This window comes from Homo sapiens, chromosome 5, assembly GCF_000001405.40.
Source record: "Homo sapiens chromosome 5, GRCh38.p14 Primary Assembly".
NCBI lineage: Eukaryota > Metazoa > Chordata > Mammalia > Primates > Hominidae > Homo > Homo sapiens.
Window position 1 is genome coordinate 109,707,570 of NC_000005.10, and position 17,150 is coordinate 109,724,719.

Genomic DNA, 17,150 nt, shown 5'->3' on the forward strand with positions numbered 1-17,150 from the left:
GAAACAAGAAATAAATTGAGATAAACCATAACATGAGGAGGCCTGTTTTAGACTGGCTGGGGAAGGCTATGCAGAGGTGACGTTTGGCATGAGAGTTGAAGCATTATGTAAACAGAGACCATGTACAAAGGTTTTAGGGTAGGGTGGGGAGGAGCTGGCTTGGAACGGAGATAAGATGAAGGTGAAGCTAAGTTGAGAGAAAGAGATATTCAGTCCTTACTGACTGTGGTGTACAATGTTTTGATTTTGAGGGTGCCTAACTAGGTAGAGATTAAAGCCCTTTACTGGAGATCTGAGGACTGTAGGTGTCTTTTTGAGGAGGATGATTTTTGGACTTAAGTTTGAAAGCCAATTTGAGGCATCAGGCAGGTATTTGAATATATGGGTCTGTTTTTCAGGGGTGAGGTTTCAGCGGGAGATACAAATATGGGAGACATCATGGAATTTAAATCATGGAGTGGATGAGATCATGTAAGAGAGTATAGAGAGGTAAGAGGCTCAAGAAGCTAACCTTGAGGTGCTCTAACATTTAGAGCTTGGGAGAGAAGGAGCCAGCAAAGGAGACTGATAAACAGTTGGCAGGAGGAAAACCTAGGGCATGTTGTATTGGGAATGAGTAAAGAAAACATTTCCAGAGGGAAGGAGTGCTCCATTGTGCCTAATACTCCCTGAGATGACGGATAAGGTAAGGGCAGAGTGCTTTTCATCAGGCTTGAAACATGGGAGCCTCTGGGAACTTTACAAGGTCAGTTTTGGTGGAGTGGTGAGCAGATGCTGATTGTAATGGGCAGATGAATGAATGGGAGTTTGTAAGGAAGGGGGATAATGAGTAGAGAGAAACTTTTGATAATCCCGGTACATGAAGTGGGTGGGGCCCTGGAGGGGAATGGGAATGTAAGATGTTTTATTCAGGGTTCTCCAGAAAGACAGAACTGATAGGACACACACACACACACACACACACACACACACACACATGAGAAGGGAGTTATTAGGAGAATTGGCTTATTTGATTATGGAGACTGAGAAGTTCCACTATTGGCCATCTGCATCTGCATGCTGGAGAACCAGAGAAGCTGGTAGCAGGACTTAGTCTAAGTCTGAAGGCCTTAGAACCAGAGAAGCCAATAGTGGAGCTCAGTCCAAGGTGGAAGGTGCAAGAGCCCAGGGACCACTGGTGTGAGTCTGGAGTCTAAAGGCTGGAGAACCTGGAGTTCTGACATCCAATGGCAGGAGAGGAAAAGCGGCCAGGCTCTTAGAGAGGATGAGAATTTGCCCTTTCTCTGCCTTTTAATTCCATCTGGGCTCCCAGTTGATTGGATGGTGACTACCACATTTAGGGCACATCTTCTCCACTTAGTCCACTCACACACCGTCTCCTCTGGAAACACTCTCACAGATACACCTGGGGCAGCTCAATAATTCTAATCAATTGCTAAACCACCTGGGTTTCACTTTGAGTAGATAAAGGATGGGCCCAGTGCCTACTGAAGCCCTGAAGAATAATCAGTGTTTGACCAGCTATCTGGATATTCATTAATCTAGTCAAGTTGAACCCCAAATTAACCATCACATGGGGTTAAGCACAGGAGGGTGGAAGCACAGAGTTTGACTTTTTTAGATGTATATAGCATATAATAAATATTAAGTTCAACCTTACGAAATTGGTGATATTTGACTATGTTTTACCTATGAGAATGGCATTTTCGTATAGTTTGATCTAATAGAACATGTTACATTACTGAGAATGAGTTGCTTTTAGAAGTGGAACTTGATTGAGCAATATTGAGAGGGTTTAATCAAAAGGGCAAAGAACAAAGCCTTGGAGCAGTTGAGATAAATGGGATTGTTGCTCGGCAGAGGGTTGGCCTTTGAAGCAGGGAGAAGGAAAGGCACACAGTTTTCCAGGAAGGCAGGAGAAGATACACAGATTCAGCCATGCTGGAAGGATCACAGTGAGGCCAATACCAGCGGGTAGTGTCCTATTTGAGGCAAATAATTATGTAATAAATTTACGGATTTAGCTGTAGATACACATTGATTGATTTTGTTCATAGGACTGAGTGGTAACTGAGCCTGTTCTACCTTGTGGTAGACTCTAAATTTGTTCTCTCAAAGGTATTTGATATGTGATTTTTTGCTTGGTTTTTCTCTTTCACTAAAAGCGGAGTAAATCAAATATCATGACCTCCTTCCCCACTCCTGAGCGGTGCAATGCTGTGGCCTCCCTGTAGAACTGATTAGCAAATCAAAGAATAAAGTAGTTTTCTCATAAGTGATTTTCTTGCCCTACAGAAAATTGTCTTTTTCAATGTTACTATAAGTATTCTTTGACTTCTCAGCATAATTGAAGCATTATCTATGATTTCTGTTTCTTTAATGCAGACTACAAGTGCATCCTTTTAAGGTCATTCCACTCTTCTCTGTCACATGTACAGAATTTGCTTATGAGGGTGTTCATTTCAAGAATTTCACCTGTTTGGAGGGAGACTTTATTCCACCGCATAATATAATTTTAAAAATGATGTTCTTTAGACCATTGTGTGCATATATCCCTAGGCCATAATTTTCTCCATGTACTTAATTCAGTACAGAATTCCAGGTACTGATCATTAATGATATCTTTAAAGCTAAATGAGATTGAAAGTCATCTTTAATGGCTGTAGGATCCTTTTTTCATGAACTAACTCCTCTAGCTAATGTTTATTTTGAATAATACTCTTATCCATGGATTATGGGACCAAAGCCATAATAAAAATATTCCCAGGAAGGGTTGTCTTCTTATTCAGTGTGTACTTGTTGAGCTATAGGCAGTTTTGCTGTGTATATGGCTCTAAAATGATCTTTTCCTCAAAGTACAGAAAGATCTGGAGAAATGTGGGCACTCATGTATTAAGTTTGTAGTATTATAATATTGTAAGTATAAGATAAAATGTGGTATTTTTTTTTTTTTGAGACGGAGTCTCGCTTTATCGCCTATGTTGGAGTGCAGTGATGCGATCTTGGTTCACTGCAACCTCTGCTTCCCAGGTTCAAGCAATTCTTCTGCGTCAGCCTTCCGAGTATCTGGGACTACAGGTGCATGCCACCACACCCAGCTAATTTTTATTTTTTTATTATTTACCTATTTTTTTTTTTGAGACCAAGTTTCGCTCTTGTTGCCGAGCCTGGGGTGCAATGGTGCGATCTTGGCTCACCACAACCTCCGCCTCCCGGGTTCAAGTGGCTCTCCTGCCTCAGCCTTCCAAGTAGCTGGGATTATAGGCGCCTGCCACCATGTCCAGCTAATTTTGTATTTTTAGTAGAGACGGGGTTTCTCCATGTTGGCTAGGCTAGTCTCAAACTCCCGAACTCAGGTGATCCGCCCGCTTCGGACTCCCAAAGTGCTGGGATTACAGGCGTGAGCCACCGCGCTCAGCCGCTAATTTTTGTATTTTTAGTAGAGATGGGGTTTCACCATGTTGGCCAGGCTGGTCTGGAGCTCCTGACCAGGTGATCCACCCATCTCAGCCTACCAAAGTGCTGGGATTACAGGCATGAGCCACCGTGCCCGGACAAAATGTGGTATCTTTAAAAGCTCTGTGGTGATGGCATTTTAGATTAAGGTAATGTTTTATTTTATGAAGATGTGTAGCTGTACTGCTGGCGAGATGAATCAACATGTTCTAATACTGCTTGTAATAAGAGTAACTTGATTTACCATTACCTGCTGTGGTAAATTTGTATCTTCAGTATTGGAATTATTCAACAGAATCTATCAGAAGGGATTTCAAAAGCTGCAGTCTGTGGTGTTGTGATAAGTGAAGAAAAGCATTTCCCCTATTTCAGACAGCCTTTGATAGCATATGTATTTAGGAAAATATATACAGATTCATCAACTGTACCTGACTCAAATATTTTTAGCTTCTTTGGGTTGAACTTTGGGTTATGCCAAGGGATCCCCTTTCGTCTTTTCATGGAGAATCACTTGTAACCAATGTTGATGTGCACTTACAAAGAAGGGTGTAAAGGTTTATAGGACGATACTACTCGACAGCTCTGAGGATCTGGAATCTACATGGTTCAACTAGCTTCTCTATTTGAGCCCTGAACTAGTGTTGCACTCATCTCCCATTTCCTTTGCTTTGCCATTTCCAGTTGTAAAGTGATGTGTGCTCCCTCTCTTGCCTTTCACTGGTGCAGTGGGGCTTGTCTTTCAGGATGGGACCTGTGCTAAAACTTTTTCTTGTCTCTGTGTATGCTGATAAACAGGCTTTAGAGTTCTATCTTGTGGTGACTTATCACCCCACCCCATCTTAGAGATGACAATTGCCTTTAAAGGACTATAGTTTTAATGTGTAGAGGGGCTCTTTCTGTTATGTGCTTCTAAGTAGAGAGGCCTGTGAGAGCATCTTTCAGGTCTGAGAAGGTACATGGCTGTCTTGTGCTCCTTTCTTCTCTAGCATCAGGCTGTAGATATTCACCCCTAGTGTTGTATTGCCCCCAACCACTGCCACCCCCAGTGATTTGCTGCTAATTTTGGCTACTTTTTTTTTTTTTTTAATTCCAAAATCTGTTGCAGTCTCTTCGGACTTCTGCCAATTCTGGCATAGTTTGCTCAAATGATTGGCCTTTTCTTGGTAGATCTCAGTCTCTTAACTTCTCCCTTTCCCCTTGTTGAACTGACCAATAACCTGTGAGTATAAACCTTATATCTTGTGTGTTATATGGTCTTTCATATTTTTTCCTAAAGCATATCATGTCATACATACTATTTTTAAACTGCCTTTTCACCACTTCTGAAAATACCTTTCCTTACTTTATCTTCTGAAAATACCTTTCCTTACATTTCTATTTTAAAACAATTTATATTTCTAAATTTTCAGTGGCTGACATCCCTTCCATGATAATGAATCTATCGTTTGACCAGTCCCCTACTTTTGGGCGTTTGGATATTTTCTATCCTTTTCTCTTTTCTCTTCTTCCTTCTTTCCTTTCTGCTTTCCTGTTATTTCCTGGTAATGAGTATCCAGAGTTGTTTGTTCACCATGCATGTAGTTTTTTAAAACCTTAATGTGGGTTTTTTGAGGCTTTTGCTAGTTATAACATCACCTTGTGTGTTCAAAGACAGGGGCCCGTATCTTATGCATGTCTTCCTAGCATACATGCCTGACACAGTGGCCATTCACTAAAGAATTATTGTTGAGTTTCAGAAATATGAGGGCCATTTGACAAATAAATGAGTACCTTCTATGTACTTGGAACCCAGGATATAGGGGTGAACAAGGTAAAGATTGTCCCTGCTCTCATAAGGTGAGGTATTATTTTGTATAACGAGGTTTATGTTACAGAGATGGCAACCCTCTTAATGTGAGGATCAATGAAAAAAATTTAAGACACACAGTATAGCAAAAGCAGACTGAATGACTTCGGGTATGGTTACTTGGGAGATGTTCATGCTTATGGCTGAATTGACTAATTGATTTTTCCATAGATGATATTTCTTATTTAGGATTATCCACTAGTGTTAAGGGATTGAGATGGAATGATCTTTTTCAAGTTCATACTTTTTTGACCCTTGTGAGTAACTCCAGTCAATTATACTTAAATTAAAAATTTCATACCTGAATATAATATGCTGTTGTACAGTGATTCCAGGGACCCAAAGATATTTTAGGACTGAGTTTGGGGGGAACAGAAATATTTCCCAAAATATTTTTGGTCTTTCTGTTGCACGTCTTAAAATATGATTAAGCAAAGATTGCAGCCGCGGAGAAGATTTTCTGCTGTAAATTGGTGTTTCAACCCTGCCAGCTGTTCATGCTTTCTGCGATCCCACTTATAAAAGTGGAAAGTGAAGGGTGAGTGGCTGCCCTCGTAGGCAACCACATAATTTAAAAAAAAAAATGTGTATGCCTCAGCAGATCTATATTAGTATTTCATATAGCTGCCTTTTTCTTTTTTATTGTAGGGCCAGCTCTCAATGTTGCAAGAAAAAATAGACCATTTGGAGCGTTTGCTAGCTGAGAATAATGAGATCATCTCAAATATTAGAGACTCAGTCATCAATTTGAGTGAGTCTGTGGAGGATGGTCCGAAAAGTTCACAAAGCAATTTCAGCCAAGGTGCTGGCTCACATCTTCTGCCCTCACAATTATCCCTCTCAGTTGACACTGCAGACTGTCTGTTTGCTTCACAAAGTGGAAGTCACAATTCAGATGTGCAGGTAATGTATACATTCGTTAATAATCACTGGCCTTTTTTTTTTTTTGTTCTTTTTAAGATTTGACCTGATGTCTGTTCTGACTTGGTAAGTTGCTTAAACTCTTTGGATTCTAGTTTCTCTTTTTGTAAAGTATTTTGATTAGTCACATGAACATTAATGTTCTGTTTAGTGATAAAATTCCATAATTCTATTTCTCTCAGTTTATCTTACTATTTTATACTTACGTGAATACAGTCTTTTTGTATGCTTTTCAGGTCTTATTTTCTGTAATAGTTGAAAACCTTTAAAGGTTTAAATTTTGCCAGAGATTTTTTTTTACCTTCCTTTGGAGAATACAAGAAAATCCATGTTCTTATTATATATCAGTTGTACATTATAGATTTTGTACAAAGTAAGGTTAGACTTTTTTTTTTTTTTCTTAATATCCTTTTGCAAGAGGGAAGGGAAATATTCTAGAGCTGTACTTTCCAGTATGGAAGCCCCTGTCTGCGTGTGGCTACTGAGCACTTGAAATGTGACTAATGTGGCTTGATATGTGCTGTAAGTGTAATGTACACACACAGTGTTTCAAACTTAGTGTGCAAGATATCTTAATTCATTTATATATTGATTATGAGTTAAGATAATATTTTGGATATACTGGATTAATGAAATTTTAAAATTAATTTCAACTGCTTTGTTTTACTAGAAAATTAAAAATTTGGTTTGTATTATATTTCTCTTGGACAGCGCTATTATAGAGGGCAATGGAGTCGAAAACCAGCATTGGAAAGGACTTCTGCCTTTCTTAAACTCAGAGTGTTTCACTCACATTGGCTCTGCAAATTAGGGCAAGGCTGTGTTTAACCTTGTGCCTTAGACCAGAAACTGGATTTTGGGGGAAGGATCCTAAGGGGTAAATATTTTAAAGTTGGACAAAATTATTTGGCTTCTGGCCTCGTTTTCGAATATGTACTTTCCACTAACTGCTGAGGGCAGAGAACATGATATGATCTTGAGGTCGTGGCTCACAGGCCAAGCTGGAAGCTGGGGACAGTGGAGCTGGCCAGGTCTTGCACCTGCAACCTCATCAGCTAGAGTGTAGCCAGATTCTGATAGGATCAGAATCCTGTGCTTACAGGGATAGCTGTTTCTGTGAGGTTTGGCTTTATTTAGTTTTTTGTTGAGTACTTCTTGAGTACCTAGCCTTGTTGTCATCCATGATAAGGGAACAGCAAAAAAAAAAAAAAAAAATTATTTTTGTTGTGTGGTCTAAATCTGGGCTGGACAGAAAGGAGTTGCAGAGCAACCATGGAAGTCAGGCAGAGCAAGTCAGGAGGGTACTGGGAGAGCTGCAGGACTGAAGGAAGAAACAGACACTGCTAACACATCCTCCTGCCCAGCTTGTTTCCAAAGATTTGTCAGCTTATCCTTGAGAAGATTTTATTTTATTTATTAAACTCATATATTCCATAGGGAGATAAATATTATTGGCTTAAAATACTTTGTATTGACTTTCATATAATTTGTTTGGCCTTTAAATTTTTTTTATAACTTATATTTGGATGTGATTTTTGCAGTCTAGTTTTAACATAATTTAAATTTTACAAAAGGTTGTTTGGTTGTGTTGTCACATTTAATATTATAGAGACTATGAAGAACAAAAGTAAAGTTTTAGTTTTTTTCCCACCGTTTTTTCCTTTGCATCCCAACATTATTAGCCAGAAGGAATGCTGCATTGAAAAGCTAGAAAACAATAGGATACATAAAAGCTAAATCTCAATTTTAAAATTTTTCTCAATTTTTAGATGATTATGCCTGGTTGACCCTGTTGTAGTTTTACTTCTAGGATAAGATAGGTAGATATAACATATGCTACATGGCAGAATAGCTATAGATAGATATATTTTTGTTCAGGCATAGATTTTTAATATACATGAGATTTACTATAAAATAAAGATAGCACAAAGTAAAATATCATTTTCAGAACTGTTTTTGAAAATGCTGAAATATCTGGTCATAATCAAATTTCATCAGAAATTTTTTTCATGGTTCTTTTTCTATAAATTTCTATTAAATTGTTTTGGAAGTAAAGTAGGAGAAGAAGGAATAGAATGAACTTTTTTTTTTATTAGAAGCGGATGGGAGGGATTATTTGTCAGGGTAGTTTTGTAGCACAAATAGCATTTCAAGCCTTTGAATGGTGATGGAATATTTTCTACTCTAAACTCCTCAATGTCTACAGAAATAGTTTTATTTTATAAAATACATATGCAGAGTATAGCAGTGAATAATTTTGAGCAAATATTTACCAACATTAAATTAATAATTGTTAAACTTTAATTTTTTTTCTTTTACATTTTTAGATGTTGGATGTTTACAGTCTAATTTCTTTTGACAATCCAGATGGTGGAGTTTGGAAGCAAGGATTTGACATTACTTATGAATCTAATGAATGGGACACTGAACCCCTTCAAGTCTTTGTGGTGCCTCATTCCCATAACGACCCAGGTAAAATTTGCACTTCAAAAAGACAGGAGGTTATTAAGTTTCTTTAGGCCTAGAGTCTTTTAATGAGAATCTGGTAGAGGCCACTTCTCAAATTTTTGAGACATTATTCTCTGACTTTTAACATTAATATATTCCTTTTATGTGTCATTATGTTTTAGTGTTCTCATTTTATCAGTTTATGTGCCATTCAAGGATAGTATCTGTGCAGTATGAAATGGTAATAAACAAAAAAGAAGGGCTTGCCTTTGGGGACAAAACAGTATATAGTTTTAAGAGACTGCTTGTTCATTTTAGTAACTTTTTAAAAAATATTGCATAGGAAAATTATTTCATGTCTATGAGGTCTACTTTTAGAAAAGGCAGAATACTCATGGGAAAGTTTGAATCTTTAAAATAAAGAAGCAGTATTAAATGCTTTAAGAACCTTGGTGTTGATTGGTTTCAGGCACATACGAATGTGAGTCTCAGCTCTCTGTATTTATCAGTGTTAGATGACTTTAGGCAAGTTACTTAATCCCTCTGAGACCAAGTTTTTTCCCTGGTAGAATGAGGATAGTAGTATCTGTTTCAATAGGGTGCAAAGTGAAAGAATCATGTATGGCACAACAGTAGCTGCTATCATTATTGTTACTGCATATGATGGCGTTTATTTATTGGGACCACAGATTCCTCCCTTCCCCCACCCCTGACCCCGCCCTGCCAAGATGAGGGGAAGTTGTTTCAATTATAATGGGACATAGGATTTGATATACATATTTGTTGGTTTGAGTACCCAGTCACAGATAATTTAGTTGCAGCATTTTTTTTTTTGTGGGGATTGGAGAGGGGGGTGTATTTCCAAAGACTTATTTTGAAGGAGTGTGTTACTTTTCTTAATATCTCGATTTCATGATTACTGTCAGAAGCACTGGTAACCTAATAATTTGAAGGTTTTTTTCTTTGCTTCCAGCATTCATTTATCTTCTACTTACATTTTTTCCCCATTAGTTTATTGGCAGATATTCCTATTTTTCTATTTTGAAGACAACAAAATATGTTACTTTAGGTCTGGACACATGATTTAGTGAAGCATTTTTTTTGTGCGTGTGTGCTGCTTTTGGATGTGAGAGGTAGTCTGCAAGCTTGGATATTGAAATGCTTGGATTTCTAGACTACAGTGCAATATTTAGTGTGCACTGACATGTAAAATATATGAAATCAATATTCTGGAAATTTGTGATGAGCAGTTATTACACCTCACCTTCTGACTTGATTTCCCTATCTTTGATCTTAATGTCTTTATCTTTTCCTACATATACCTGTTAGTGTTATGTTTTCCTCATATATATTTTAGATTGTCTTTCTCCTTAATCTTAGCCTGTACCTTTTAAATCAAAACTCAGGGAAGGCTGGGCATCATGGAAGGACTTCAGGGATTTGGAGCTAGGCAGAATGAGGCAGGTATCTTGGCTCTGCGGTGTATTGCCTGTGTGTCCTTGGGCACATTGATTTGTGTATCTGTAAAATGGAGATCATACAGGTGGAGTAACATCTTAAGCCAGGGTTAGTTATAAAGTAATTATAAAAGGTGATGAAAATTACATGTAATCCAAATTTCTTTGCTATTTATTCACTTGAGTGCAGATTAGTTAGTATATTTGCATTTAGGGGATGCATATGAAAAACACGTATCTTTGATTACTAGACTCACACTCAGTGAGGTGAGGTGCTCCCACTTAATGTAGGATCTAGATGGCTTATGGCACTGCAGATTTTTTTTCTCTATAAATCTCATAATCACTTGACTATTCAATTATTGAGTGAAATGGTGGCAGAGCCACTTGTAATATCTAAGTTGTTCTCCCTTCTCTTTCTGCCAATCATGTTTAGTTTAATTCTTGTTACTTAATTGGGAGAGTGATGTGATTCCATAGTGTAATCTTCCTTGTAGGCTTATAAATATACTTCAAAGTGTGTCTTGTGAGTCTTCCTCATATGAAGCCCACTTCTTCCCTTTTCTTGATTTTTTAAAAGACCTTTATTCTTTTCCTTTTTCTGCAACTTTTAATTCTCACCAATCTCATTTCTTGTTATTCCATACATGGGCACTTAACTGTAATAATAAAATCCATGGTTTACTGGGCAGAATGCCAAATGTTTTACAAACATTTAGTGCATACGCATGAAGGTTAGTGCCATGATTCACGATGAAGGTGTTACCAGGTTACATAGCTAACAAGGGGCACCAGAATACTTTCCTGACAATTTACCTGGATCTCCCACTAAAGTAAATTCTAGCGGCAAAGAACATATGCCTCCTATTAAACACACTCTCCTCATGGCCTAGCTGAACACTTGGCATATAGAATAATTGCCAAATAAATAAGACCTCTTTGACCTTTCTCAAAGCCCCTCCACCACATACTCATACTGCACACACACGCCTCCACGCTTGCAGGTCTTCGCAGATGTAAACATTTACAGCACTTTTACTTGGTCTCCTCACTAGAATGTTAGCTCATTAAGGGCTGGAACTTTGTTTTATTCACTGCTGTGTTGGGAATGCCTAGAATCATAACTGGCACATGGTACTGAGTCATTAGAGTTTGGTTAAATAAGTTAATGAGCTAATGAATCTGACTCTTCAAACTAGGATGAAACATTTGACTTATTCTTTGGCGTAGGCTTTTCTTTTAAGTTCCCTCCTTCCTGATGGCTACTTATTTCTATTCTTAAAAAAAAAAAAACTTATTTAAAGTACTCTTTTGTAATTTTATGTACTAAAAACAGGCAATAATAAGCTCTTTGAGGGCAGGGATTGCCCTCGATTTTTAGATTTTTTGTTTGTTTGTTTGCATTACTATTCCTGCTTAGTTAGTAGGTCATCTTCTGAGTAGACATCCCTAGTAAGTATTCCTGACTATAATCTCTTTTGGTATCCTAGTAACTATAGCTGAATCTTTTTGTCTTAGTAAAAGATGTTAATGACCCTGACTCTCAAACCCTTCTCCACTTGGAAAAAATAATTGTCAGAAACAAACATTTTAAAACTACAGTGATTTTTGCTGTCAAGCAAAATGCTAGAGAGAAGAATCCACTGACTTAATAATTTTCACTATTCCTTAACTTAACAAAAGTAAAATATTGACAAATAAATTATTCTGTGAAAAACTGAATTATTCACATCATGAAAAGCCATTCTTTTTTAATAGAGGAAAAAGAGAAAAGTGTGTTCACATACACTGCAAGTCAAAATGTGACACTATAATGGGAAATCTTTGTATAATACTCCTAAATGAATGTGCAATTAGGCAGTGTTCTTTCTAAATGAGATTTATAGAGATTTGTTTGCATTTTCTGCAGCAACAATTTAAAACAAGCTTTAGCATAGTAGTTTGTTTCATCGGTGGATTTTCGTCTATTGGGAATAGAAATATTTGAAATAGATTTTTAAAAATTTTCTATATTTAGTTCCCCAACTTTGTGAATTTATGTTGCTGTGTTTTTCTATATATAGATATTTTTCTTTTTGGACTGAGTTGGTAATATCTCTCAAGAAAAGGTAAATTTCAAAATATGTTTGTATTTTAATAAAATTCCAAATTATGTTACAGTCTGAAAAGATCTAACAATTGTCATAAAATATTTAAGTGTTTTACATGAGTAAAAACTGAATTGGAAAAGAATTGTGAAGTAAATGCTGATAACTTTGTACTGTTATGCTTTTGAAAGTTTTGAATCATAGACCATGAAATTAAATGTTAGTTGATTGATACATGTTCATGTTGTATTTAATAAGCTGATTAAAACACAATTACAGCACCTCTGTATCTATAATCTTAATTCTTTGCTTCCCACTAGTTAAACTGCTGAAATATTTGGTTAATTTTACTTCAAAGAAGTCACAGTGTGTGGAGAGAAGATAAGGTATACTAAATGAAAGATTGGACAGCATATTGTTAGTTAAGCAATTTGTGAAATGAACATTAGAAAATAATCCCCCTTGTGGTATGACTCTAAAATAGTAGGAAGACCTAGGCCCAAGAGTTACACTGGAAAATAATTTTCTTTTGTACATTTGCAATTCTTTTGTAGAACTTTTTATTGACTCAGAGGGTGATTAGGACTTTTTGCTTTTTTGTGTGTGTAAAATTAAGAAACAGATGTTTGCATTTAGTATTATGATAATTATGTATCCTCTAAAAAAGTTTGTAAAAAAAGAATAAAAACATGAGGAAATCAGTGTAATATTTCCAAATATTTCTATTCAAATATTTTCAAGTATAGTTAGAATTTGAAAATAGTTCTGGTCAGTCATAGTTGGCTAATATCTCTATTAGGGGTGTCCAATCTTTTGGCTTCCCTGGGCCACATTGGAAGAAAAATTGTCTTGGGCCACACATAAAATACACTAACAATAGGTGATGAGCTAAAAAATAAAATCGCAAAAAAATTTCAAAATATTTTGAGAAAGTTTAGAAATTCATGTTGAGATGCATTCAAAGCCGTCCTGGGCCACATGCAGCCCGTGGGCTGCAGGTTGGACAAACTTGATGAGAGGTGGTGGAGACTTAGAAGTCTGGTTGCTAAAGGAACTTTACTGATCAGAATGAGATGGTCATCGGAAGGAGAAGTTGTACGTGAACACTGTTTGGAGAGTACTTTATTTGGTTTAGCTACTGCAGGATAAAGTGGATTGTTTGATTTTGGCTGCCATGATGGGAAATTTTAGTTTCTGGAGCTAAAATCGTATGCGGAACAACTGAGTTCTGGCATTTATTGCCTGTACGGCATCAGGGGAGTTGCAGGTCTTTGTTATTTTTTACTTTGTGTGATTTTTTAACCCTGAAAAGTGGTAAATGAAGCCACATTTAACAGGTGAGGGCAGCGAGGCTAAGTTAGGGTAATTTGTTCAAAGTCAGTTAATTTAATTATAAATTCTCAGAGGTTGGTGAATTGAAGCTCAGGATTGCCTGATTGTAAAATCTGTGTTTTTTCCATTTACCTCTTTTTATTGCCTCTTAAGATACTTTATTTAGTTCAAATTATTCTATTTCTTTTCTTCTTGTGTTGTAGGCATTAGCTAATTTAACACATTTATCTGGACTTTGGGTTATTAATAGGGTTGTCAGATTTAGCAAACAAAAATATAGAATGCTCAGTTAAACTTGAATTTTCAATAACAATGAATAGTTTGTGTGTGTGTGTTTGTAGTTTGTGTGTGTGTGTTTGTGTGTCCCAAATATCACATGCAGCATGCTTATACTAAACATTTATTTGTTGTTTATCTGAAATTCAGATTCAACTTGGCTGTGCATTTTATCTGACAACCTTAATTGTTAAGAAAATTGTAGCACTTGAGTTAAATGGCGCTGTATGGCTATTTAGAATTCTGTTTTTAGAGATCTCTAAAATATGTGTATTGAGATTCTGTTTTAGAGGAAGAATAGATGGTTTGGTCTCTCATTGGACTTTATTCTTTGAGGAGCACATATGTTAAGCAGCTGCTGAGAAATTTAGATGATCATTAAATAGCTCTTCTTTCTCCTCAGTTTCAGTTACCTTTGTCTGTCTTTCAAGCCTGGGTGCTTCAAAACTCTCCAGTGCCCTGGTAATACAAATAATTACTAACACTTAGGGAATTATTATGTTCTGTGCACTATTCTAGGCATTTTACATATATCACATCCATTACTCCTTTCAGCAACTTCATGACAGAGTCTGTAATTACCCTCCCTTCATAGATGTGGGAGAAGTGGCAGGAGAGAGCATAAGTGATCTGTTCATGGCAGGGCTAGGTTTGAAATCAAGTGATCTTTTTCCAGAACCAGTACTTGTAACAGTTTTTAACATATTGCGTTTTTTGGATAATTCTTCTGAAACCACAGGCTGAGCATATAGGAGGGAAGTCTTTTAAGTATTTCCAAGCCAAATGTCAACTACTTTAGTATTATTAACCATAAAAAAGATTTTTTTCAGCTATCTTGCAAAAGTGGACATCTCACTGCACTATCTCCTATCCTTCTTTTCCTTCTGATTTATCTTAATTGAAATGAATGTCTCTGTCCCTAAATACTATATTAGTACATGAGATAGTGAGTGATTTTCCTGATTGCCACATTTTCTACAATTAGAAAGTGATTTACAAGCAATATTTTCCAGCTTTTGTTTTGTTTTGTTTTGTTTTTTGAGATGGAGTCTTGCTCTGTTGCCCAGGCTGGAGTGCAGTGGTGCAATCTCAGTTCACTGCAACTTCTGCCTCCCAGGTTCAAGCAATTCTCCTGCCTCAGCCACCTGAGTAGCTGGGATTACAGGCACACGCCACAGTGCCTAGCTATTTTTTTGTATTTTTAGTAGAGATGGGGTTTCACCATGTTGGCCAGGCTGGTCTAGAACTCCTGACCTCAAGTGATCCGTCCGCCTTGGCCTCCCAAAGTGCTGGGATTACAGACTTAAGCCACCGTACCTAGCAATATTTTCCAGCCTTTAAGTTGGTTTCTTTTAGAGACTTTGATAATTTGCCCAGTATTTGTCTAAAGCTAAGTAGCCCCCTCGTGTACCCTAAGAGTAACCCACCAAAGAAAGTCACTTTTCTTTCTAACAGTGTCTGTCATATTTTAGACAGTTTTCTCATTATTTCAAATAACCAAGCTCTGTTTGGGGAAGACTTACTATGCCTGAAGTATTGTCAGTCAGTGTTAGATGCTCATAGATGGGATCATTAATGAGGGAGGGGAGGAGCTTTAGCACAGATTTAGAAATTATCTTGGAGATTGATCACACAATTGCAGCTATGAGAAAAAGTATGCAGGTCTTCTAAGGGGCACTTAGAAAAGCAATATAATAAGGGGTCACAGTTGTACATTGTACGTATAGGGCTGCAGGATGAACAAAACGCCTGCTGTCCTAACAATAATGCAAATAGGTTCCTCTGGTGTGGGGTAAAATTTCCAGTGACAGCATCTTCATATGGATTCAAAAAATGATCTCTCTCAAATATCTTCATTGAATTAAAGCTGATATGCTTAGAAAACTATTAAATGACACTGAATCAACTGAGAAAAACAGGTTAGATTATTTTGGAAACCTGGGTTCAAAAGCATTTAGAGGCATCAGCAGGTTTCTAGGTTTTCCAAGTCTCACAGATCTCTGGAAGCCTCAGCTTCATCTGTGACTGTCTTCTTACCCTCTCTTGGAAACTTAGTCGATTACTAAGTTCTCTTCATTTTGTCTCCTTGACCTCTTATTTCCCTCTGTTTATTTCAACTGCAGTCCATAACCATTTTTTACAGAATTTTGCAGTGGTCTCATTTTCTGTTTCTCTGCTTCTACTTTGCCTTTTTAGTCTTCACACTCTTAGTACAGTTATTTTTGAAAGCACAGGTCAGAAAACCCTCATGTCCTCCCTCCAAAGTTCTCTGTAAGAAACAGGAATGGTTTAGAAGGTTTTCAATAATCTGTCTCCCACTTCTATTTTTATATTTATTTCTCACCATATTTGCATCATGTACCCTGCAATGCAGCCATAACCAACTTCCTGTCTTTTCCATATGCTCTTCCCTCTATTTGGAACTACCACCCTTTTTCTCTCTCCAGATGATGACTAATCTAAGAATCTTTCTTCTTTTCTTTTGGTAAGACTTTACCATTTCTTTATTTCCATGGCATTTTATTCATATTTTCACTGTAGAATCTGTTTTCATTTAGCTTTATTGCTTTGCCCTTATTAGATGCAAGGTACATGTTTGAATGAATAAATCAGAACGTTAATTAAAACTCTTTCACAGTTTATCAGGGAGGAAAAGCAAGCTTAACTTATAATAGAAGTGTTGGAATTAAAATTAATCAGCAGCGTATTTGAGTAATAGTAATACCATTTAAGATTGTATGTTACCCCATAAGTATATGACTAGAAGTTGCAGTTGAATATTGAAGGATTAAGGAGTGATGGAAGAAACCTGTTCGTCATTTTTTCATAGAAAATACCTTAATTACTAGATGAGAACAATAAACACTGAGGATTCTGAAAGGAGGGAGAGAGGGAAGGGGGAAAGGGTTGAAAAACTACCTGTTGGGCACTGTGTTCACTATTTGGGTGATGGGATCAATAGAAGCCCAAACCTCAACATCATGCAATATACCCGTGGAACAAACCTGCAAATATACCTCTTGAATCTAAAATTAAAAAAAAGAAAATAAATTATTAGATGAAAGGATATTTCTGTTTTTAATGAACTTTATTTTAAAATTTGAGAATATTTATCACATTGAAATGGAAAAAAAATCTTGAGGCTTAAGTTGCATGTGTTGTTTATTACCAATGTATTATTTATCTGGATATAATTATTTTTTATTCAAAAACTTTTCATGTTTTCCTGAAGATTGGTGCTTATTTAACTTTTGAGTGGAATTAATATACTTAAAAAATCGTTATTAATAAAAATAAAAAGAAAAGAAAAAATCATTATTATAGCAA

General features: G+C 36.7%; 1 protein-coding gene across 5 annotated transcripts in view; it reads left to right on the forward strand.

Annotated features, from left to right (window-relative positions):
• Positions 1–17,150, forward strand: part of MAN2A1 (mannosidase alpha class 2A member 1) — a 179,699-nt gene that overhangs the window by 17,643 nt on the left and 144,906 nt on the right. For 4 of the 5 annotated variants that reach the window (XR_007058604.1, NM_002372.4, XM_011543395.4 and 1 more), the window contains exons 2-3: positions 5,951–6,205; positions 8,551–8,695. Coding sequence is in view for 3 of the 5 variants with exons in the window: in NM_002372.4 (NP_002363.2) it covers positions 5,951–6,205; positions 8,551–8,695 (400 nt within the window). In the remaining 2 variants the exon portion in view is untranslated. Of the gene's footprint in view, positions 1–5,950; positions 6,206–8,550; positions 8,696–17,150 lie in introns of those variants that run through there. The other variant, XM_024446048.2, reaches the window with a different exon arrangement.